The sequence below is a fragment of the Homo sapiens genome, chromosome 11 (genome assembly GCF_000001405.40).
Source record: "Homo sapiens chromosome 11, GRCh38.p14 Primary Assembly".
Classification (NCBI taxonomy): domain Eukaryota; kingdom Metazoa; phylum Chordata; class Mammalia; order Primates; family Hominidae; genus Homo; species Homo sapiens.
The window spans coordinates 44783290-44807919 of record NC_000011.10 but is presented as its reverse complement, the minus strand read 5'-3'; the positions used below and the strand labels follow the sequence as shown (position 1 = coordinate 44807919).

Genomic DNA, 24630 nt, shown 5'->3' with positions numbered 1-24630 from the left:
TTGGGCAGCTGGGGTGTGCATCTGTCTTCCCGTCCCACTGGAGGCTACATGCAGCCCATATCAGCTCTCCTTCTGAGCCCAGTGCTCCACAGGGATGTTCAGCTGGGCCACAGAGGTTTTCTTTACAGATGAGGAAACTGATGTCCAAAGGCATTAGGTGACTTGTCTGAGGGCTACCAGGCCAGCAGGCAGCGGAGCAGAGATTCAAACCCAGGTACCAATGCCAAAGTCTCTAATCCACTCAACCAGTGATTCCCAAACTTGAGTTCCCCCCAGGAATTTTGCAATACCCACACCCACTGAATACCACCTTCATTCACTCATTTTACCTTCTCTGTATCCCACCTGTGCTATTCTTTTTTCTTTTCTTTTTTTTTTTTTTTTTTTTTTTTGAGATGGAGTTTCACTCTTGTGCCTATGCTGGAGTGCAGTGGTGCAATCTCGGCTCACTGTAACCTCCGCCTCCCGGATTCAAGCAATTCTCCTGCCTCAGCCTCCCAAGTAGCTGGGACTACAGGCACGCACCACCACACCTGGCTAATTTTGTATTTTTAGTAGAGACAGGGTTTCACCATGTCAGTCAGGCTGGCCTCGAACTCCTGACCTCAAGTGATCTACTCACCTCGGGCTCCCAAAGTGCTGAGATTATAGGCATGAGCCACGGTGCCTGGCCTCTTTCCTTCTTTTTTTTTTTTTTTTTTTTTTTTTTTTTTTTTTTTTTTTTTTTAAGAGACAGGGTCTTGCTACTTAGCCAGGCTGGGTGCCAATTCCTGGCCTCAAGTGATCCTCCCACTTTGGTCTCCCAAGTAGCTGGGATTACAAGTGTGAGTGACTGTCCCTGGCTTGTACTGTCCTTTATTGAATCTGTTTCTTTCAAATGACTTAAACCCAACTCATTTTTTAAACTTTGTCTTAAGCAGCACTGTTCAGGAAACCATGGGTTTTATGTGCTAAATATACTTCATCAAATACTCACTCAGATAACTATATAACCATTGAAATAAAAAGCATTCCAGTTCATGTGAGTGCCACCTAAAATTGTCTGACATACCACATGCCTCTTATTGCTAATACACTTCCTCCCTGCTCTGGAGGTGTTGAAGGAACCAGCTCGAAAAGTTATGTTTGATTTAGATCTGCCAAAGACTTCCCAGATTATTCAACCAACGTTCCAACAATTGTTGGAGAGAGTCTCTGGAATCAGAAAATGTTCTTTCAGCCCCAAGATGAGTTAGACAGATTTTTATAGTGGAACAAGTAAAACTGAAAAAAGGGCTTTCACAATTTCCTTTAAACATCCAAGCAAGTTTGAGGTTGTATCATACAAACACTACAGGTGTTGTCCTTAAGCAGTTATATTTCTGGGGCAAAGTTTGGCTTCTTGGACCCACCCCACCCATTCTAACAGATCTAGTGCAAGTTGAGCTGAAGTTGGCTTGTTAGGAATGAGGCTGGCAAATCCGGAACAGTGTCGTCCTTATCTGTGTGCTTCTCTAGCACTACGCACCCAACAGGCACCCAACCTAATAATTGTTAGGAACTACATATGTTTGACTTCATACAGTATAACAATGCTTTAAATATTGGCCAGGCGCGGTGGCTCATGCCTGTAATCCCAGCACTTTGGGAGGCTGAGGCAGGTGGATCTCCTGAGGTCAGGAGTTTGAGAGCGGCCTGGCCAACATGGCAAAACCCTGTCTCTACTAAAAATACAAATATTAGCTGGGTGTGGTGGCAGGTGCCTGTAATCCTAGCTACTTGGGAGGCTGAGGCATGAGAATCACTTGAACCCGGGAGGCGGAGGTTGCAGTGAGCCAAGATTGCACCACTACACTCCAGCCTGGGGGATAGAGCGAGACTCCAAAAAAAAAAAAAAAAGGAAAAAATAGTGTTCCCTCAAAATGTGTGTCTACCCAAAACCTCTGCATGCGACCTTATATGGAAAGAATCTCTGCGGAGGTCATTAATGAGGTTGAGGTCATATTGGATTAGAGTAGGTACTAAATTCAATGACTGTGTCTTTTTAAGAGGAGAGGAGGCAGAGAGAGACAGACAGAGAGAGAGGGAAGATGGCCATGTCATGAGAGTGATGCGTCTACAAACCACGGAATGCCAAAGATTGCCAGCAACCCACAGAAGCTGAAGAGGTGAGGAGAGATTCTTCCCTCGAGGCCTCAGAGGGAGCACGACCCTGCCAGCACCTTGACTTTGAACTTCTAGCCTCCAGAACTGTGAGAGATTACATCTTTTGTTTTGAGCCACCCAGTTTGTGAGTGTTCACTGCAGCAGCCCTAGCAGATTAACACAGAAGGCAAACATGGATGACCAGGGAGACCGTGTGACTGAGCTGAGATCCCACTATTAGCAAAGCTCAGCACAGGACTCGAACTCAATCTCCCTGGCCCAGGGCCCCAATCTCATCTTGAGAGGAACACGGGCTTCCTGGAAACTGGAGCCAGAATATGAGGTTAGGCATCAAGACCCTTCCCACCAAACTTTCCCTGATTTACCAGCATCCAGAGAATGCCTCTGTGGAAGCAGCTTACATATGTATTTACTTCTGCATCAAAAAGAGCTGTGAAATGTGGCCAGGAATGCCACCTGTCTTTAGCCACATCCCTCTGTACGTTCTCCCTGGCTTTCCTGACAGATGCACACAGATGCACGCATCTGCCGCTCCCATTTAGAGCTGCCTTTCTTTCTGCCAAGGAGACTCACCCAGGCATTGATTTGTCTTTATGAAAATGACCAGTCTTTATGAAAAGCGATAACCAGCTCTGTTTCTGCTGGGCAGCGTCCAGTGCCGGCTGCTCCCGCCCATGGTTGGGAGGACCCCCTCCCACTAACAAGGTAGCCAGTCACTCCTGATTCCCCCAACCAAGGGCGGCCACAGCTGCCCTGCTAACAGCCGACCAGGAGAAGATCTATTATTTCTCCACAAACTGACTTCTTCTCTGCATCCTCCCCAAGCCCTCCCCAGGTGGCTGGGCTTCTTGCTTGTCCCACTTAAACAGCCTGTTCTGTTTTTCTGGCTCTACCTCCGTCGGAACTCATAATGGGGTGGGAAGTGGAGAGGTTCTCTTGCTTTCTCCTTCTTCTTCTCTCCCCACCCCCACCCTTCCTCCTCAGAAATGCAATCCAGTTGTTGTTTTAGGCTGGGGTTTGTAAAAGCCTTTGGACTTGAAAGAAAAATTTAGATCCAGACCTTAAAGATAAACACACCCCTGCAAGCACAGCAGCTACCAGAGGGGAGCTCTGAAAACCTCAGCTTGCCAAGAATCCCTCATCGCTGCTCGCCAGTCCCCAAATGTTAGTTACGGAGCTTCTGAGGGCCAGGCTCTGTGCTGAACTGAGATGAATAAGGCATCCCTCCTTTCCTCCCTCCTTCCCTCCCTCCTTTCCTTCCTTCAGTCCACAAATATTTGTTGAACTCATCCATTGCCAGGTGCTGACTGTGCTGTATCCTGGGTCCACAGAAGTCAAAAAAGAACTGATGTGGCCTCTGCCTGTGGCCCTCAAGAAACTTACTGGCTGGGCGCGGTGGCTTACGCCTGTAATCCCAGCACTTTGGGAGGCCGAGGTGGGCAGATCACAGGGTCAGGAGTTCGAGACCGGCCTGGCCAACATGGTGAAACTAAAAATACAAAAATTTGCTGGGTGTGGTGGCACATGCCTGTCATCCCAGCTACTCTGGAGACTGAGGCAGGAGAATCGCTTGAACCCGGGAGGTGGAGGTTGCAGTGAGCTGAGATCGCACCATTGCACTCCAGCTCTGGGCGACAGAGCGAGACTCTGTCTCTGGGGGGAAAAAAAAAAGAAAAAAAAGAAATTTACCATCCAGGAGCAGAAAGAGACAAAGCAGCAAAGTAATGATGAACAGCAATGTAGTCTGATAAACAGCACAGGCAGGCTCAGTGAGCTGGTGACATTTCATTCTTATTTTTCAGGTGTAATAAATGCTAGTCAAACTTCCATCCAAGTGCTGAGAGAATACTGCTGGAATGGGGTTTTCATGTTGGAAGGCTGACGGAGTAAGAATCATAACATTTTTGCCCTAAGCTGAGTTTATCATCTCTCTGGCCCCTCTCACTAGCTTTTCCTCTATCCTTTGAGTTCCCACCATTTTTCTTAGTAGCCTCAATAATCTAAGCATCTCAGCTCAAATACACAGAGACTCAGAGCATTTCTGTTCTTGCCCCATCCAATTCATTCCAAAGTCCTATAGAGTTGTCCTGCTACCTCCTGCATCAGCCCCTCGTCTCCACCCCAGTGTCCCCTGCTCCACTCCAGGGCGGCAGCTTCTACTCCTTGGATCCTTGCAGTAGACAACTTGTTCCAGTCTCTCACTTCTTCAATCCCTCCTCTACCCTCTCTCAGAGCCATATCTCCAGACCACTGGCCTGGTCCAAAACCTTCAGACTCCTAATGACAGAACAATTAAATCCAAATTCAGCATTCAAGAACTTCTGTACTCTGGCCTCAACCTCCCTCTCTGATTTAATGTTTCCCTACTCCTGTACATGTTCCCAGAATCCCCACCCGAAGGGAGGATACCTTCTTTGCTGAAAAAATGCCCCCCCAACCCATGCTTTCCCACATCTAAGCACTGGCAAATGCTGTCCCTCCACCCAAAATGTCATCTTCCCAGCCCCAGTCCTTCAAGGCCACCTCAGTAAATCCTTTCTTGGCTTCTCTGTCGACTTGTCTTCTGAAAAGCCTTATCTGCCTGTGTGAATTTTGCTCCTGCCCTGTTTACATCCACGAACACTCACTTGTGTTGTGGTCTGCATACACTCCCTTTTCTTACTAGGCTGAATTCCTAGAGGACAGAAACTTGGTTTCATAGACCAGTGAATAACTTTTAACACCTAGTAGGGACTGGAATGTGTCAGGCCCTCAATCAATGGGTAGTGAGTGAAAGACTCACTTGTGCCCCATGCCTCCGCCATGACTCTCCCCAAACATGGGTCCCTCCACTGTCCCCACCATCTTGGAGCTGGTGCACCTGTTTATCAGAGCAGCTCAATGTTAAAATCAGAGCAATACTCTGAACAACAATAATAAAAGGAATGGGTCTGAGCAGACCCCAAGGAAGGCTTCTCTAGTAAAGCCCTTTGTATTATTTTGCTTTCACTATTTCCTCTTCCATTCCAGCATTTTGGGAACCAGTTTGGACAAACTGGACCTTTCATCTAGAGGCCCTGGAGTCCCCACCCACAGCCTTTACCACCTGCAGCCCCAGCCACCTCTTCCCCAGTTCTTGAGCCCACCCTGCCAGAGGCTGTGTGTGTGTGTGTGTGTGTGTGTGTGCAGTGCTTCCCAGCCCCCCACTCCCATCTGCTCCATCCAGTGGGGGCTGGGGAGGCAGCCCTGACTTCTATCTTCTCTGGTCTCTGGCTCCTACTTTTGCTCCAATAATCCATTCTCCATGCAGCAGCCAGAGGGATTTATTTAAAATGCAAATTAGAATCTGGAGCTTCTCTGCTTAAAACTCTCTGAAGGCTTCTCATTGCACTTAGAATAAAACCCAAACTCTTCAAGGCCCTGCAGCCCCCACCACTACCCCCTCACTCCATCTCCCACAGCTCTCCCCCCACCCACCTCAACCACTTTGTGCTTCGCTTCTCTGGGTCCCAGAACCCATCTCAGAGCCTTTGTGTCTGTCTGCTGTTTCCTCTCCTGCAGGGTTCCTGACCCACCAAAGACCCCCAGGGGCTGCCGTATTCCACTGTCCATTTCCCAAACTCCCCCTCTATTGCCTTTTCCAGCTTGAGGAGAGACTCTCCAGGTCCTAATGTGCTTCCCAGTGAGGTAGGTCTAAGACCTAGCAGGGAAGTGCATGGATGATGACATTCTTGAACACTGATGGCTAGAATCTTTTTATGTTCGAGACAAGGTCTCACTCTGTCACCCAGGCTGGAGTGCAGTGACTTGACCATGGCTCACTGCAGTCTTGACCTCCCAGGCTCAAGCAATCCTCCCACCTCAGCCTTCCGAGTAGCTGGGACCACAGGTGGACACCACCACACCCAGCTGATGTTTTTTATTTTTGTAGAGACAGGGTCTCACTATGTGGCCCAGGCTTGTCTCAAACTCCTGGGTTTAATTGATCCTCCCACCTCGGAGTCCCAAAGTGCTGCGATTACAGGTGTGAGCCACTAAAGCCGGCAGCTAGAACTATTATTGCCACCATTCTACAGGTGAAGAGATAAAGGCTTGAAAAGGCTAGTAACTCCTCCAAGGTCACTGGGAAAACGGAGCTGGGATTCAAATGAGGCAGTTTCCTTCTGTCTTTGGAGCTCTTAACCACCACCCTGAGGCACTGCTAACTTATGAAGATATTTTTTTCATTTTTTCCCATGATTCCCCACCAACTCCTTGAAACTAGTGTGGTTTCTCTGGATGCTATATGGATATTATTTCCTTCCACAGGTATGTACTGGGTACCTTCTGTATGCCCAGCTCTGTGCTGGCAGATAAGGAGATACCTATAAATGAAGCAAACACAGGAAGCTCCACTCCAGAGACAGAGACAGACAGGGACAGATAAGAAAAGAACCTCACGTTAGAGTAACTTCTATGGAGGAAGCAAAGCAGGGGCTGTAGAGAATGGCAATCTAAATTTTTGTTCTGCAAAAGTCTTTCTGAAGTGGTAACATTTAGTTTATCACGTGAACTCTAACTTTTGGCAGTTTTCAAGCACACACAGAGAGAATACTATAATGAACCCCTATGTACCAATTGCTCAGCCCCAACAATCCGACAATCCTGATTTGGAAGCTATTTAAACATAAATAAATAAGCAAATGCTCTAAGGGCCTTGAGCACCTGCAGATTTTAGCATCCATACAACCAGTCATCCATAGATATGAGGGGACAACTGTACAGTTTAAAAAGCTTCAGCCTAGGGGTCAGAAGATGTGAGGCTTGGTCCTGCTTCTGCCCTTGTCAGACTGTGCAGCTCTGGGCTGTGGGTCAGGCCCCCAGCCCCTCGCAGCCCAGGCGGGCCCCTGCATGGTAAAGACTCATTGTGTCCTCTTGGCCTTTTCCCAGAAGACAGACTTTCTGGGCAGACACTGTGCCTCTGTGGAAGGAAGCTTTGCAATTAGCCCGATTTATGACCCCACTGACTGCCTGAGAAGTCCCTGCCCCCACCTGTCCCCAATCCTAGGAAGGCCCCTTCTCAGGAAGAGACTACGAGGGGGTTGGGCCAAATCTGTTCCAGGTAGGGAGACCAGAAACTTCTGCAAACAGGTGTCACCGGGCATCCTGCTGCACAGCCCAGAAAGGGGCTCTGGCAGAGAACAGCTGCAAATGAGCTTTGAGCGAAGCCTCCCATCACTGCGCAAATACAGGCCCTATGGAAGGGGAACTTCATACAGCCAGGTAAAGCCCTGAGCCAGGTGGCCCGTTCTTACCCAGACAGAGGGGCTCACCCAACCCTGGTCTCTTGCAGGTAACCAGGCTTTCATTTACGGCACAGGTATTTAGTCCTGACACTGAGCTGAGGGCTCAGTTGAGATGTAAGTGAGGCAGAAGAGGCTCCAACCCCAGATCCGCCAGATCCCCCAGCTCTGGGGCCTCTGGCAATACCTTTCACTTCTTTGAACCTCAGTTTCTCCATCATCAAAATGGGTCCTCTAATACCTGCACAGTCATCCTGAAGACTGTGGTCTGAATGTATGTTGTGAATCTTAAAGCACGTGCCCTGGGGAGAGGCTGTTCTAGTGGCAGAGAGTACCTGGCTCAATAAGTACTTGCCAGGCTGGGCGCAGTGGCTCACACCTGTAACCCCAGCAGTTTGGGAGGCCGAGGCAGGTGGATTACCTGAGGTCAGAAGTTTGAGACCAGCCTGGCCAACATGGCGAAACCCTGTCTCTACTAAAAATACAAAAAAAAAAAAAAAAAAAAAACACAAAAAATTAGCCGGGTGTGGTGGTGTGCACCTGTAATCACAGCTACTCGGGAGGCTGAGACACAAGAATCGCTTGAACCCAGGAGGCAGAGATTGCAGTGAGCCAAGATCGTGCCACTGCACTCCAGACTGGGTGACAGAACGAGACTCCGTCTCAATAAATAAATAAATACTTGCCAAGCATTCTAATAAATGCATGGGTTGTTAAGAGCAGCTCTGAAGGCAGTCTGCCTGGGTTCAAATCCTGGCTCTGCCACTTCCTGACTGTAACCCTGGGAATGGGTCATCACTCCTCATGCCTCAGTTTCCTCTTTCGTAGAAAGGGAAAATAGTAGCACCTACCTCATGGGTTGCTGTGACCACAGAAATCATCGCTGACACATAATAAACACCCAATCGATGTGCCCCACGCAATAGGCCTGGGAGGGTCATCCTTCTAGTCCCTCCACCACAGTGCCCTCTTCCACTGGGAGCTACTGCCCGCTCATTGACGTTCTCCCTTACTTGGAGGGCTAACAGATGTTTGTGGAATTGAAATGCAGTTGAATGGGGGCTGAGAAGAGCTGAGTGAAGAATGAACTTGCTAATCTAATAAAACTTTTAAATCCGAGGTTGGCATGGTGTCGTGGGTGTGTCGTTTGGACCAAGGTATAGGGTGTGCAAGGGCAGTGGCCGCTCCGAAGTTGGGGTGGGGTGCGGGACAGGCTCCTTAGGCAGACAAAAACCCTCTCCCCATGAGACCAGTTTAGTCTGGTTTTCCAAGGGGACGAGGGTTCAAGAAGGTCTCGGGCAAGGCTGAGGAATGTTGGACAGGCCCCCTGGGGAGGGGGCAGGAGAAGCCCACAGTTTCACAAGAGTTCCATTGTGTCCTCTCTGCACCGATGGCCCCCACAGTGGCCCACTCTCTGGGGAGCTCCCAGAGGAACAAAAAACAAGGGAGGGCAAGGGTGAGGAGGGGGCGGCACTGCCTGGGAGGGGGTGGGGTGCAGAGCATGACACAAAAAGTCACAAAGGCGGGGTGGGGGTGGGGATAAGTCCCATGAGATGAAGCTTCACTGCCCTGGGTCCCCTAGTTGGCCTCAGTCTCACCAGATTCAATAAAGAAGGACTTGGAAGACAAGAAAAACAAAAGACAGTCAAGCCTGGACAGGGCTGAATACAACTCCTTTATCTATCTTCATATCCCTGAAATGCACAAACTGGAAACTCTAAACCCTCCCTCTCTATTTCTTTTGGATGTGGCTGTGCCTGGCAGAGCTTCCTCACTCTAGCCTGAGCTCCTGACCAAAATTATACCAGTTTCCTGTTTAAAACTCTCCAATTCCATGGGTTTCTAATATACTCAGCATCAGTTCCAGGAAGGCCAAGGGGAGGGCAGGGGGTGAGGGCTGCCCAGGGGGGTCCAGACTGAAGCTAGCAATGCAAACACCAAATTTGGGGCCCCCAGAGTGGCTTAGCCATGGTCTGGGCCAGATGGGGGAGGCTACCAAGTCCCTCACAGGACAGGGCAGTGGTTAAGCTTGGGGGAAGGAATGCACTGGAGCTTTTCTGTGACTACATCTGGCTCTGCTACTTTCCAGCTGTGTGACCTTGGACAAGCGACTTAATCCTCCAAGTCTTGCTTTCCCCGTCTTTCCCTGTCTGTGAAATGAGGATGGTGATGACAGTACCCACATCACAGGGCTGCTGTGAGCCTTACATGAAAGACGCAGGAAAGCTGCTCACCACATTGCTCGGGAGTTTAAGGATTGAGTAAGTGAAGCTGCTATTATGATGCTAATGATGGTACCATCTTCAGAATAATCCTCAACAGCAGATAGTGATTTCCTAAGAGCTGAGTGTGGGAGGGCACGGGCCTCTCTGACCCTCTTCAGGGACGGCCAGCCACTGAGCACACAGGAGGGAGGCTGGCCTGAAGAGCCTTTCTAGAAGTGTGTTCAGATGTTAATAACCTCAGCAACAAAAAAAGGCACTGTGGTCCATGAAGTCTGGGAAATGCTGGCTTACCCCAAGTTAAACAGGCTCCTTTGTGCAGGACTTATCAGAGCCTTTATTTGACCCAACAAGCGTCTTGACTCTCTAGAAATGGAGGCAGAGTACACACTCGTTCCTAAACTTCTCTGCTGAGCAACTGTTTAGGGCCAAGCATTAGTGCTCTATGTCACCCACTTAGAGAAAGGCCAGAGGTCGCTTCACCTGAGGCAGGGGAGTGTTAATTCCTCCCAAATTTTTCACTTTCATGCCTTTAGGAGCTCCTTCCCCTCCCCCATTCACATGTGCTCTTGACAAACCAGTCCTGAGAATCTCATCCCGTCAGTGCCTTTGCTAGACACAAGGATAACAAAATGATGAATGTGGCACAGAACTGGTCCTTAAGAATCTTTGAGTCTCACCAAGGAGGCGTTCACTGTAGGTGTGTTTGCTCCCGTCCCCATTTTCATTAATGGCAGGACTTGGCTCCCAGGTGCTCAGGCACAGAATCCATTCATCAGTCTCCATACTCCTCCCCACCCCGCCATCATCCCTCACATCGCTCAGAAAGTCCCACCAGATCTATCCTATAAATAATAATGATGGGTACCGTGGCCCCCACCAAAGCCTTTCCCCTCTCATTCCCTCACCCACTCACCTGGCCTCTCAGCCTCTTCTATTCCCTAACACCCACCTCATCAGGCTACAGTGGGGGCTCAAATGTCCAGAGTCTGGTTTGTGAACTCACTGGCCACGTGACTTTTAGGGGCGTCAACTTCTTGGAACCTCTCGGTTCTCATCTGTAAAATGGGCAGAAAGAGTCTTTGCTTTGTCTGCCTCCTGGGTTGTGAGAAATCAGATAAGCCAAGGGTCCAACCTACTCAACAGACATGAGGGGTTGTTACTACGGATTTCTTGTGGCATCAATGAGTCACTCCTCCTAGGAACATCCAGAATATGGAAGGTGATGCTTATCTCCAAAGGAAAAAATCTCCACAGGTAGGATTTCAGGTCCTGTAATACCTGAAGTTGGGTGAGGATGCTACTCAGAGTCAGGACAATGTTCTCAGAACCCTCAAAGCCAATACCATAGGAAACCCACCAGCCATGGCCTTCAAGAAGCCACAGTTCTGAACATACCCTCTAAACCAGTGTCTCAACGTGGGTGATCATTTGCTTGAGAAAGTCCTTGCAGACTCAGGTCTGGGGGCTGGGAATATGCATGAGAATAGATACCTACACACCCTGCTCCAGCCAGAGCAGAAGCCTAGAGGACAGACAGAGGGTGGGTAGGCTCAGGCTGGCCCGGGCTCAGCAGGTCTGTATTTTGGTTGTTGCTGTGTGACTGAGGCTATCCTTGTCCTTCTCAGGTCATTAGTTCCCTAGTACATAAAACAAGGATAGGGGGAGACCTGTAGTCACCAACATTCTCCCTACTTTGACATGCTGGGTTCCATTCTGGGCGCTATGTGCAGGCAAAACCCGGAGAGGTGTTGCCTCTCCAAGGAGAAGAAACCCAGCTGGAAACAGGGACGATGACTCCACCAGTCCCCATGACCGACCCTGAGCTCCAGGTTCTTGCTTTTATCTCCACCGTGTGAAGGGAGAATAATTCTTCCATGGCAATGGAGGAACCCACAGGAGTGGGGCTAAGGCTGGGGCAGAGGACCCTGCCATCCATTTCCCATGAATCAGCAAAAACATCGTAAAAACTGAAAACCAATCTCCCACTGCCATGGCTTCTCCACTGCACAAAACATACACCTCAGGTCGCTTGCCAGTGAACTCTAAATAATGATCATAAATAATTAAAATGAAATTACAGTTGTCAAAATAAATTAGCAAAGAACCAGGAGCCTCCATTTTCTCCTCCTCCTTGCCATTCTGTGACATCTCAGCTTGTTGTTCTTTAAAAGCAGATGTGGGCAAAGCGTCTCCTGAACACTGGGGCAAATGAGTGAGATGCAGTCATGATGTGGCATGGAAAGGGCAACGGAGGGACCACAGGAAGGCCAGAGGGCACAAAAAAGGAATAGAAAGTGCATTCACAGCCATGGCTCACCCCTGAGGTTTGGGACAGGTAGTGACAGTGACAGGCTGTGTCTGCAGGCTACAGCTCCACATTTAGCAGGCCTGGGAGCAGGGAGCCCTGGCTAGTCCCAGATCACCCCAAAGCCTCCAAAGGTCCTTGGTGCCAGCCGGCAGTGGGCTCAGGGCACAATGCATCTCATGCCTGTACACCCCAAGGTCCCAAACCACATGGAAGCCAGTCAGGTTCTGAGAGGTCAAGACTCCAGCGGGGTCTGGTGAATGAAATGTATCCTTTCTTCCGGCTCCTGGGGCAGAAAATGGGGTCTGGGCCCCAGAAGCTTAGACAATCAGAAGCGGCAGGAGTAAGGGTGTGGCAGTGAGAGGGTGTGAACTCATCCCTGGAAGTCCAGTGCATGCCTGATCCTCACACCTGTGTGTCAGGCTGGCCACCGCCAGAACTCGCTTGGACTATTGCAGTAGCCTCCCAGCTGGTTTCCTGTACCCCCACTGCCCTACTGCTTGGATGAGTGGAGGTAGGATACCATCATGACCACTTTGCAGATGAGGAAGCTGAGCTTTAGAGAAATCATCTGGCTTACCATGACTGGGGCAGGCAGTGGGACCTTGGATCTGAACCCAGGCAGGGAAGCTCCAGGGCAGGCATCTTAAACATCGCCTCATGCCAACATCAGGACCAGGGGATGAGGCAGCAGCCCTTGGATGATGTCAAACCCTTCCATGCTGGAGTGGGCCAGTGAGGGAAGAGTGGTCCCAGGAAGAGAAGCAGCTGGCGTGAGGACCGGAACTGGCCCAGCTTGTTGAAGGAGCCCAGGTGGTAAGGATGAGGCTGGCAGGAGCCAGCCACAATAAGGAACTTAGATCTGACTCTAGGTATGATGGGAAGACCCCGGGGGTGGGGGTGGGGGTGGGGGTTCCAATGGCAGAAATGGCAGCAGGTCTTTGAGGTGGTCTTGGACAATGCCGATGTCTGCCTAAAGCCAGTGAGGACCCCCTCTTTATGCTTCAACCAAGCTGGCATCATTTTTCCCACTGATTCAGTTAATGAAAATGCATGTTAATAACTAGCATTTATTAAGCACCTACTATGGAGTAGGCACTGTGCTGAGCACTGTTAGTCACATACATTCATTCTCTCTTAAGTCCTCACACCCACTTCATCAGACAGGCGCTTTCATTATTATGCCCATTTATAGATGAAGAAGCTGAGGGCTCAGCAGGTTAAGTAGCTTATCCAATACCCCAGCTGCTGATAGGACCAGAATTTGAACTTACGTCTCGGAACAGAGACTGAGTTCTCCCTTTTTTTTTTTTCCTGAGACAGAGTCTTGCTCTGTTGCCCAGGCTGGAGTGCAGTGGTGAGATCTCAGCTCACTGCAGCCTCCGCCTTCTGGGTTCAAATGATTCCCATGCCTCAGCCTCCCAAGAAGCTGGGATTACAGGCGTGTGCCACCACAACCACCTAATTTTTGTCTTTGTAGTAGAGACGAGATTTCTCCATGTTGCCCAGGCTGGTCTTGAACTCCTGACCTCAGGTGATCCACCTGCCTCGGGCTCCCAAAGTGCTGGGATTACAGGCATGAGCTACCATGCCCGGCCAGAGCCTGAGTTCTTAATACCAAAGACCCTGGGCTCTACACACACATGCATCCACACGTGCACACACACACACACAACCACACATGTGTGAAGCTCCAGGTTCTTTTGGCCAGGTACTCTCTGGATACCAGGAAACACTTGGTAGGGGTGAACCTGGTAAAGGCTAGAGGGCTGCAGTTTCTCAGACAAAACTTGACCATGGTTCTTTCTCTGTCTTCCTCTTGCCAAGCGTCCAGAGGTAGCCCCTACTCTAGTTTATGAGACAGGATGCCAGGGGAAGGGGCCCTGCTTCTCCCTCCTCTAATGGCTGATTCCTGGATAACACAATCAGAGCTAAAGGATTAATGGACGTGGCTCTTGCTTTCAAGTCCCACCCGCTGACAGATCGCCTAACTCCCCCCACCCCCCTGTTCCTCAACCTTTCAGAAAAAAATACAGGCGGCTTGCTTATCTTAGAGTGGGGTTGCCGTGGAAACGGCATCCCTTGTGAGATGCACTGTCATAACATTTCAGTGCTGTTCGGAACACTTAAAGACACAGCCTCCTCCTCTCCAGGGCCTCAGCTCATGGGCAGTTGTCAAATGGCTGGGGAAGGGATGGGAAGGGAGCGCAGTGGAAGGTAAAGAACAGGAGGACGTTCCCCAGCTTTGGAAATGTCTGCTTTCATCATTCCAGGCCTTGGGGTCGCCCAGTGCCTGGCAAGTGGAGAGGAGGGCTTAGAGAACAAGCATTCCTGGCAATGCACCAGGGTAACGTGGTGACTCTCACCAGCATCCCCACAAGGTTGGCTCTATTATGATCCCCATTTTACAGAAAAGAAAACTGAGGTGGAAAAAGGTGAGCTCCGTGTAGCAACGCCGTTGCTGCTCTGGATGACCGACCATCCTGACTTCAGCACTCAGAATCCTACTTCCAGGAAACCCCTGGGTCACTGGCACACTGGGAGGGCTGGTCACCTTAGCTCAGCCATTTCCGTTCTGATGCCTGGTGCGTTTCTGAGTACATTTGCTCCTAACTCCTGCACCTAGGATTCTTCTTCAGCAGGTGGCCCTTGAGTCCCTGGAGTGGCTCTGTTCCACAAGCAAAAGTCAAAAGTGCTCTGAGCCTCCCCACCTCCTCAGCCAATGACCAGCAGGCGTGGGGTAGGAAAGCACAGCTCCCTTGCCACAATGTGGTACAAATAGGTGGGCGTGGTGGCACACGCCTGTCAGCCCAGCTTCTTGGGAGACTGAAGCATGAGAATCACTTTAACCCAGGAGGTGGGGTACAAACTCTGAGGCACAACAGACACCCTAGACCCCGCAGGGCTTGGCCTAGGATCTCACCCTTGTTTCACTGTCTCCCTTCCCTTCCCATTTTCCCAGCTCCCTCCCCTTCCCCCTGGGAGCATATCACATCTCAGGGTCTGTTTCTGGGACAACTTGACTTTGAGTCACACGAGACGCCTTGCAGGAGCTGGACCACTCCCCAGCCTCAGCTCCTGTGGCTTCCCCATCCTCCTGCAAACCCTGGATTTCCAGCCACGGTCACTGCCAGCCCTTGCCCCACAAGCCACACTCTCTCCCACCTCTTGGCCTTGGCAGGTACTGTTTGTCCACTCTGTTCAGTACATCCTTCCCAGGCTACTTCCCCGGGGTGGAGGTCCACTCCTTCAAGAGCTAACTGAGGTGTCACCTCTTCCGGGAGGAACCCCACTGAGTGAGGATCAGAGGGGCACAGAAACCTCTTGGTTTCTACATCACTCCACACAGCTCCACCAAAGCCCATGATGGAGAGGCCCCGGCTCCTTTCTGAATTCCCACCGCCCTGCGCAAGGTCTGCCACTGAGAAAGCTCTAATGAAACAGTGGTTGAAGGGAGGCACACTTAGGTAGCACCTACTGTGTGCCAGGCAGTCAGCAAGACAGACACCACACTCAAGTGCCCGCAAGGCCCCTCATGACCTTCCCTGGCCACCCCCGCTCACCTCCTTCCACTCAGCCCCTGTGAACTTGGCTCCAGCCCTGGGACTCACCAGCCCCTGGCTGCTCCAGGCCGTGCGTGCCTGCGGTCCCCTCTGCCTGCGACTGTCCCCGCAGATGCTCCAAGCTGTTCCCTCACTTCCTCAACACTGTTTAAATGTCACCCCTCACAGAGGTGTCCCTGACCTGCACCAAAAACAGCTTCCCCCGGCATCACTCACTGAATTTCTCAGGACTATTATGTAGATATATATAATTAATATATGAGCCAATAAGAAATATAGATTTAATTATGCACATGAAATTATATAATATTTATATAACATACAAACAAATACTGTCTATAAATAAATTGACATTGAATACCTATTCAACTGTCTGCCTCTCCTACTAGAGTGTCAGCTCTCCAAAGGAGGGGCTTCTGTCCACTGCTGCACCCCCCTATCCAGGACATTGTCTGCAGCCCACTGTAGGTGCTCAATAAGTATTTTTGAATGAACAAATAAAATGCTAGCCCCAAATTTACTGCTGGCAACCCATCATCTGCTGTGAGTGCTGTGACAAACCGAAGCTCGCTGGGTGAAATGGCTTGTCGAGGTCACATAGCCAAGAAGTGAGGGTGCCTTGAGTGCTACAGCCAGGGAGATTCACTGCTGCCCTTGGCCACGAGCCCTCCGTGAGCCCTCTCTGGCAACGCCACTGTCCACTGCACATTGCTCCCGGAGCCCATCCCCTCTTCCCAGAGCAGATGCCCAGACCTTAGAGACTGGTTCCCTGGAGCCTGGGGACACAGGGGGGACCAGGAGGAGGAGACAGTCCACAGAAGAAGTGACTAGGATGCCTCTGAGTGCCTCCCAGTGCCCAGGAGAAGGAGGCGGGGTGGGTGGCATCAGGGCGGTCATTATTCAGAATGGAAACAAATGCCCCACTCGCTCCGGAATCATTGCCAAGGCTTCTAGCCTTCACATGTCGGGGGACAGATGGATGCTCTCCAGCCTCTTCAGGGGACCTGGTGTATCCATTATTAATTAAACAGATGAGCCAATTAGTTCAAACTTGTGCATAAAGTTATTATAGATGCACTTCAGGCATATCTCCCCGGCTACCCCCCAAAGTGGGAGGAGCAGATTGGCTCCACGGCTCTCACCCTAGGTGTGTGCTGGAGTCTGCCAAGGGCTAGCACTACGTCCAGGGCACTTTCCCACTGGTGATGCCCCTGCCCCCATTCAGTGGTGTGAGGGGAGACTGAGAAAGGGAGAAAACCACCCCCAGGCCCAGTTCCCCAAACTCAGAGGGAACGGGGTCTCTCGGGAGGCCACTACTCAAACCAGACTTGAGACAGCAGCAGACTGGACACCAGGCCATGGGAACCAGGCTAGCCTTCATTTCTTGAGGGTCTGGAGAGAAGTCTCAGGATAGACTCTGCACTGATGCCCCCAGGAGAAGAGGGGACCCAGATAGAAGGAAACTCCAGCTTCAAACACAAAAATGACATCTCCTGAGGGGATCCACAAGAGGAAGCCAACTTTAGGATGACAGCCTCACCACGTCACCCTGTCCTGGCTATGATTTGTCCTCCTGGCCCTACATGGACCTGTTCTCCGACTCTGTGAATTAGCTACTAGCAGCCCCACTTTTCAGATGAGGAAGCTGAGGCTCAGAGGGAGAGGGAGGATTCTAAGCCTCATGGCATCATCTTTTTGGGTATCTCACTCTGCCTGATAAGGTTCCAGGTTTACTTAAACATCTGGCATCCCATGTTCTTTTGTGTTCTCCTATAGTTCAAGCAAGTGTACACATGCACACACACACACGAACACATGCACACACACGAACACATGCACACACATGCACACACACACGAACACATGCACACACAAACATGCACACACATGCACACACCAAAAACACATGCACACACAAACATATGCATACACACTCATGCACACACACGAACACATGCATACACACATGCACACACGAACACATGTACACACACATGCACACACATGCACACACGTACAAGCAAGAGCACATGCACACACACGCACACAAACATGCACGCACCCACACACACCAACACATGCACACATGCGTGCACAAGCATGCACAAACACATGCACACACACATGCACATACACGAACACATGCACACATACACATAAACATATGCACGCACAGGCACACACAAACACATGGACATACACAAACATGCACACACAGACACATGCACACACACATATGCGCACACACACACATGCACACACACACATGCACACACGCGGGTGGAAACATGCAGCAGTCACACCCCTTAGAGCCCAGCAGTGAAGCTGCTGCCCCGACCCACCAGGGGCAGTAAGCCCATGATGTCTGAGGTCTCAGACTCAGGGACAGTATGAGGACACCCCAGAAACCCTGAGAGACCCAGCTATCCTGTGGACTCACCAGATCATCCTTCATGCCCCTAACGCACTCAGAAAGGGGCACAGGCATTGGAGAAGAGCTCCAGGGGGCCTTCCAGCTCCTCTGAGCCTGGCACAGCCCCACAGAGACAAGAATTAGGAGGAGGGCAGGGCTGCCTTTTCCAAGGGCCCCTGGAGATACATTTTGAACAAGATTATTATTGTTTTTTCCTTTTCCAGTGCTTGTGGTGTCCTGTTGACAGTCAAGGAAAATAAAGAGTCATTTCCTACTGATCTGGGGTATTTTTTTTCTTCTCATTCCACGAATACCATCATTCTGGGTATCAGGCCCGCAATTCACCCCTGGCTTGCTCCCAGCTCAGAATCACCAATCTCGAAGCCTCCTCAAGAGCTCACCTCCCTCTGCACAATGTCATGGCTACTTTCAAGGATGAACAGAGCTTTGTTACTTGCCAAAGCCAGCCTCACTTTTTGTCTCATCAAATTTCTACAATCCCCCTTCAAGATAGGCCTTTGTCAGGTGTGGAAACTGGGGCTCAGAGACATTAAGGAACTTGTCCTAAGACACACAGCAAGTTCATAAAGGAACTGACAAATTGAAGAGCTTTTTTCTTGGCAGAAGGAAAAGCCAATAGAGCCATTTTTCTTCCAAAGGCTCCAAATTGGATAATTTAATCTCAGTTTTGGCTAAAGATGGGAAGATCCCTACAAGATTTGACGTTGGGTAGCTGTTTTATTCCCCTGCCTGTGACTTATTTCTGTTGGGAAATAAGAACCTCAGCTTCTCTGATGATCACGGCTCTGCGTCACGCAAACACTGGTAAGCTGTGAAAAGAATTCATTGATGAATTCATGCAACACTCTCTCCCTGGGTGAATGAAACCCAGAGACTGACACGAGGGTGTTATTGTCAGGTTAGCGCGAAGGGAAAATCCGCAAGTCTTCCTTCCCTTGCTGTTCCTTTTCCTGTCTGGACAACACACGTGCCTGCGTTGCTTTTTGTGGTTTTCTCCACATGCCGAGCCCAGGCACCCCACGTAGATGTGTTTGCAGAAAGGCAACACCAGCTGCATGCGTGGATTCTTCCAGTCACTTGGCCCTCTCTTCTCTCCATGAAGTGGCAGGGAGGGAATCAGTGTAAAATCAGCTCTGACATATGACCTCCTCTTAATCTTCAGGTACAGGAGAAACAAAGCCACCAGCAAGGTGCTGCCAGCTCTCACAAATACTTCCCTTTGCAGAAAACCCCTCCTCCAGGCCGGGTGCGGTGGCTCAAGTCTGTAATCCCAGCACTTTGGGAGGCCGAGGCGGGGAGATCACAAGGTCAGGAGACAGAGACCATCCTGGCCAACATGGTGAAACCCCATCTCTACAAAAATTAGTTGGGCGTGGTGGCACATGCCTGTAATCCCAGCTACTCCGGAGGCTGGAACAGGAGAATTGCTTGAACCAGGGAGTCAGAGGTTGCAGTGAGCCAAGATCACGCCATTGCACTCAAGCCTGGGAGACATAGCAAGACTCTGGCTCAAAAAAAAAAAAAAAAAAAGAGAAAAAAAGAAAACCCATCCTCCAACCTGCACTGACCAATATAGTAGCCACTAGTCACGTGTGCCTCTTGACGTTTAAACTCATTAAAATTGAAAAGCTAGTCCCTCGGTTGCACTAGTCAGTTTGATGTGCAAGTGGCTCTCGTATTGGACAGCGCACGTAGACAGCATTTCAATCCACACAGAAAGTTCCATTGAGCAGTGCAGCCCAAGAGCTGCTGAGGTTCTGCGGTGACCAATCCCGCCCATCTGGGGACTGAGGGTCCTGGGATGAGGGCTGCTCCCTGAGTCCCTGGCCCTCCAAAGCTTCAACCACCAACTGTGTACCGAAGGTTCCTGGGCCCCCGCCTGAACCATGGAGGAAAAGGCACGAGAAAAAGTTTGCCAGCCAGCTCCCATTTCCATGCTCAACCTTTTCTTCATCTGCAAAATGGGGATAATGATACTTGTCCCACAGAGAGAATGCCTGGAATGTCCCTGGGCCTGGACCAGGCTCCTAGTAGGTCCACAGTGAACAGAAGCCAGTGTGACTGTCTGCCTGTGTTGTAACGAGGGGCTTTAAGGCAAACACACAGGCTGGGAAGGGCGAGTTAAGTGAGCAGTAACATTGGGGTCTTCTGAGAACTCCAGAGAGCACCCTCGCAAAAAAGGACTGCTACAGATCCCCTCAAAAGCATCACCTGGCAGCTGGAGGACAGGTCAGCCAGATCCCTGGCTTTTGCCTGGGCACAGATGATCTTCACATCTGCCGATATCTATTCATTGCTTTGGGCCTGGCGAGTTTTAACGTTTTACATGCAGTCTCTCTTTAACCCTCGTAAGAAGCCTATTAAGTCAGATTGTTATTATTTACACTATACAGATAAAGAAACAGAGGCACAGGGAAGCCAAGAGAGCCAGGCAGTGTGGCTCTTACCCTCTAAGCCTGCTGCCTTCCCACTCTGTCTAAGAGGATGAGAATCAACCTGCACAGCCAGCAATGCCAGCACACTGAGTTGTCCACTGCAGGAATTTTTCCAGCTCTGCACCACCCATGACTGTGGAAAGATCCGAATTGCAGGTGGGGATGGGATAAGTTCAGGTTCTGGAATCCACATAAGGTGACTCTGAATTGCAACTGTGTTCCTCACTAACTACATAAGAATTAATTCTCCTCTCTGAGCCTCAGTTTCCTTATCTGTAAAATGGGAATCCTAAAAGTACATACATCACAGGGTTGATGTGAGGATTAAGTGAGTTGATGGAAGTAATAGTGGCACATAGAAAGCACTCAAATATCGGCAGCTTAGATCACTGTTTTTCAAGAGTTGAAATTTTTGCCCCAAACAATTTGCATAGATTTAGAATCCATTCTATTTATATTGTGTCTCCGTCCAAATCTTGTCCCCAGCCCACAAGCATCATATGTATGCCTTCCTAATTAGGCCCTGCCCTGGCTAATAGTCAGAGCAGTTTGCCTTCCTAAGATCACCCTAAATGGTGGCAGAGGAAAATGGAGCAAGGGTTAAAAATGCTAACTGGACAGGCCAGGAGCGGTGGCTCATGCCTGTAATCCTAGCACTTTGGGAGGCCGAGGTGGGCAGATCACTTGAGGTCAGGAGTTCAAGACCAGCCTGGCCAACATGGAGAAACCCAGTCTCTACTAAAAATACACAACTTAGCAGGGCATGGTGGTGGGTGTCTGCAATCCCAGCTACTCAGGAGGCTGAGGCAGGAGAATCGCTTGAACCCAGGGGACAGAGGTTGCAGTGAGCCGAGATCGCACCTCTGCACTACAGCCTGGGCAACAGAGTGAAACTCTGTCTTTAAAAAAAAAAAAAAAAAAAAAAAAAGTAAGTGGATAATCCTGTGCAGGTAGCAGGGAAGTGACCACATCACCCTAGATCCTGGGGCAACTTCCACTCACCAGCAGGGTCCGGGGGAGGAGAGCCCTCATGCTTGCCCCCTAGGGGTAGCAGATGCCACAAAACTGGCAGGGAACCACACTGAGGACATCACCGAGTTTCACTCTGAACCTACCCAACGCCAGCTTTCAAAGCCCAGACCCACAGAGTTTCTTTCCCTGCAGCCTCTTCTACCCTCTGTCCCCAGCCCCAGAAGCCCATCTGGCCCCTCCCCATGAGGAGGCCTGGGGCAGGCAGCCCACAGGACAGAAAGGAAGCTCCTGCTGTGCTCTGTCACTTACCAGCAGGGACCATCCTCTGAGCCTCAGTCTGCTCATCTGTCAAACAGAGATACAACACATGCCCAGCCTACTGGGCACAGCATCAGGAGCCTGAATGATCATGGTGGGTGTGCCAAGCTTTTTAAATCTCAGACTGCCAAACACCACGGGGCCCTGTGGCATCACTTGGTGCCCTCATCTCACCTGTCCTACTGACAGCTAGCTGGGTGGGGCCCTCGCTGTGCATGAGGCACAGTGCTCAGCACTTCACAGGCTCTGCCTGCCTAACCCTCAACATGGCCCAGGTAGGCACGACTGCCGTATCCACCTTGTAGAAAGGGAAACAGGAAGAGTTAAGTGACTTGCCCTGGGTCACACAAATAGCAAGTAGCAAGTGTTTGCAACCCTCTGCCAGCAAGTTTGTGGGCACCTCCCACTCTTGCCCCTCGAACCCCAGCATCGAAGCTGCCCTGGCTCCACTGCTTGGCAAGGTGGCAAGATTGAGAGACCCCAGGAGTGAAGTTATGCTAAGTCCAGTCCTGCTAAGTACAAAGTTCTACAAAGTCCCGCCAAAGACCCAAAATACATAGACTGAAAAGGAAAGGGGCAGGGGGAGGCCCCAGACAAAGGGAGCATTATCAACATTATAAAACCACCTTGCCAAAGCCACAAGTACTTTGTGGAAAAAACTCACAGGGGGCTGCAGTTTGGGCCAAAGCACAAATGAGGCATTTGAGGGGATAAAAGCCTGCTTCAGGGGGCGGTGGGGGGCAGGGGGCATGTACCATGAGGATAACTTTTTTGTACGAGGGGGGAAAAACACCTCTATTTCTTCCTTTTCAACAACTGCACAGCTACAGGGGTGGGATTCGGAAGCTCTGTAACTCTATCCGTGGTTGCAGAGCTCAACAAGCATTTGCCGAACGAATATATAAATGAATAGAAAACATTAAAGTAACGGATGTGAAAAAGCTATTAAAAAAAATCAAGAGGGAATACATGGAAAATCTGGGATGGGAAAAAGGTGACTTCAGGCAGAGCATACAGGGTTTTCCATGTCTCTGGATCTGGTTGGTGGGTACTCATGTATTCAGTGTATTGTTATAATCCATCCCCTGCATTTATTTTGTAAATATCCTTTTGCATCTCATCAACATTTAACAAAAGCATTCACAATGCAAAATATATCAGGCCCCTAGGAAACATCTGGATTTTAGCACTAGCCCTGCCCAGATTTAGAACCACGCTTTGTCTCATTACCGTGGTTAGGGATGATTAAAATCACCATAGATATTCTTAATGATACATTTTATTTATACAGCACTCCACATTTTTATAGCATTCACCACTCACATTATTAGGTTTAAACTTAGTAGTGCAGTCGCCTTAGGGTAGAAATATTCAAAACCAGATCTGCTGTTCACTCACAACCCTGCCTTTTGCCAACTGTGAGACCCTGAACAAGCCATTTAACTCCCGGAGCCTTGATTTCCCAATTGGGAAAATGGAGAGAATGTACTTGTGCTGTCTACCTTGCCGGTGGTTGCTGGGTTATCATCACTGATTGACCAAGTCATGGAGTGATTCCTGTGTACCAAGCACAGCCCCAAGGGCTGGGGACGCAGCAGAGAACAAGGTGGGGGTGGCAGCTTCCTTCACAGAGTCTTCTGTCCCGGGATGGAGACGGACAGTGAACAAAGAACACTGCCACAGTATTGCATTACACTGTGATAAATAGGGGAAGTGATAGCACAGAGTCTCCAGAGCGGTTAGAGCACGGAGTCCAACCCAGTTTGCGGGGCCGACCTAGGGGCATTCATGCCTGAATACATTCTCAACATCTATGGCCTTTGTGGAGAGGTAATGGATGGACATGACTGTGGTAAAGACAAGAGTAAAAGCAAGACCATGAGCTGAAAACAGAGGCCCTGGGAGCAGGGCTGAGAGCCTGCCTGTACACACCAGAGAAAAATGCTGACATACGCTGGTACAGGTTGGTCCTCATATGTCACTGGGAGCCCCACAGTCTAACTACAGCCTGTTCGGTCCCTCTCCATTCCCTAGAAGCTAAGGCAGGAATGTCTGCCCCAGAAGGGGACTCTGGATCTGGGACTATGGCCCCGTATCCTCTCCATTTTGTCAGTACCAGCACCCCCTTATTAATGGCATGTTGCATTTTACCCCCAAGTCAAGGGATGACTTGCATTTTTACCCCCAAGTCAAGAATCCCAAGGGATGGGATTCTAAATTGTACTACAATCTCTCCCTCAGCCAACAAAGCAGGCTGTGCTCTGACCCCTCCCTGGCTGTGCCTCTGGGGTCCCAGGAGGTTTTCCTTTGGAAGAAACATTGAAGCTGAGCCCTGAGACGAGAGGGGTGAGGGAGCTTTGTGAACAGCCAGGAAAAGTATGTTCCAGAAAATAGCCTCTGTGAAGGCAGCTGCCAGGGTGAAAGAGTTTAGAGCCTTGAGGGACTGACAGGCCATGACATAAGACACTGGCACAGACATTGATGGGCAGAGGGGCGGGATTTGTAGGACCACACAGGGTCAGGCAAGCGCCTGGCATAAGGAAGTCCTCAGAAATAGTCTTGGGAGGCCGGGCGCGGTGGCTCACGCCTGTAATCCCAGCACTCTGGGAGGCTGAGGCAGGCGGACTGCGAGGTCAGGAGATTGAGACCAGCCTGGCCAACATGGTGAAACCCCGTCTCTACTAAAAATACAAAAATTAGCCGGGCGTGGTGGTACGTGTCTATAGTCCCAGCTACTCGGGAGGCTGAGGCAGGAGAATCGCTTGAACCTAGAAGGTGGAGGTTGCAGTGAGCCGAGATCACACCACTGCACTCCAGCCTGGGCGACAGAGCGAGACTCCGTCTCACTAAAAAAAAAAAAAAGAAAAGAAAGAGTCTTGGTATATCATATTGTTGTTGTGATTATTTTCTTCCAGTCTGTAGCTTTCCTATTCATTTTCCTAACAGTGTGTTTCGATGAACAGTGGTTTTTA

The 24630-nt window shown here is 50.1% G+C and overlaps 1 protein-coding gene across 7 annotated transcripts in view, besides 4 other annotated features; it reads right to left on the bottom strand.

The window, feature by feature from the left end:
* Positions 1-24630, bottom strand: part of TSPAN18 (tetraspanin 18) — a 206114-nt gene that overhangs the window by 124504 nt on the left and 56980 nt on the right. The window lies entirely within an intron of this gene.
* Positions 9337-10015: an enhancer, noted in NCBI's record as "OCT4-NANOG-H3K27ac hESC enhancer chr11:44819455-44820133 (GRCh37/hg19 assembly coordinates)". NCBI's record gives its function as "activates a minimal SCP1, AML or CMV promoter by ChIP-STARR-seq in naive and primed H9 embryonic stem cells {active_cell/tissue: H9 hESC(naive and primed)}" and the evidence as "EXISTENCE:reporter gene assay evidence [ECO:0000049][PMID:30033119]".
* Positions 11702-12618: an enhancer, noted in NCBI's record as "H3K27ac-H3K4me1 hESC enhancer chr11:44816852-44817768 (GRCh37/hg19 assembly coordinates)". NCBI's record gives its function as "activates a minimal SCP1, AML or CMV promoter by ChIP-STARR-seq in primed H9 embryonic stem cells {active_cell/tissue: H9 hESC(primed)}" and the evidence as "EXISTENCE:reporter gene assay evidence [ECO:0000049][PMID:30033119]".
* Positions 21310-21909: an enhancer, noted in NCBI's record as "H3K27ac-H3K4me1 hESC enhancer chr11:44807561-44808160 (GRCh37/hg19 assembly coordinates)". NCBI's record gives its function as "activates a minimal SCP1, AML or CMV promoter by ChIP-STARR-seq in naive and primed H9 embryonic stem cells {active_cell/tissue: H9 hESC(naive and primed)}" and the evidence as "EXISTENCE:reporter gene assay evidence [ECO:0000049][PMID:30033119]".
* Positions 21910-22511: an enhancer, noted in NCBI's record as "NANOG-H3K27ac-H3K4me1 hESC enhancer chr11:44806959-44807560 (GRCh37/hg19 assembly coordinates)". NCBI's record gives its function as "activates a minimal SCP1, AML or CMV promoter by ChIP-STARR-seq in naive H9 embryonic stem cells {active_cell/tissue: H9 hESC(naive)}" and the evidence as "EXISTENCE:reporter gene assay evidence [ECO:0000049][PMID:30033119]".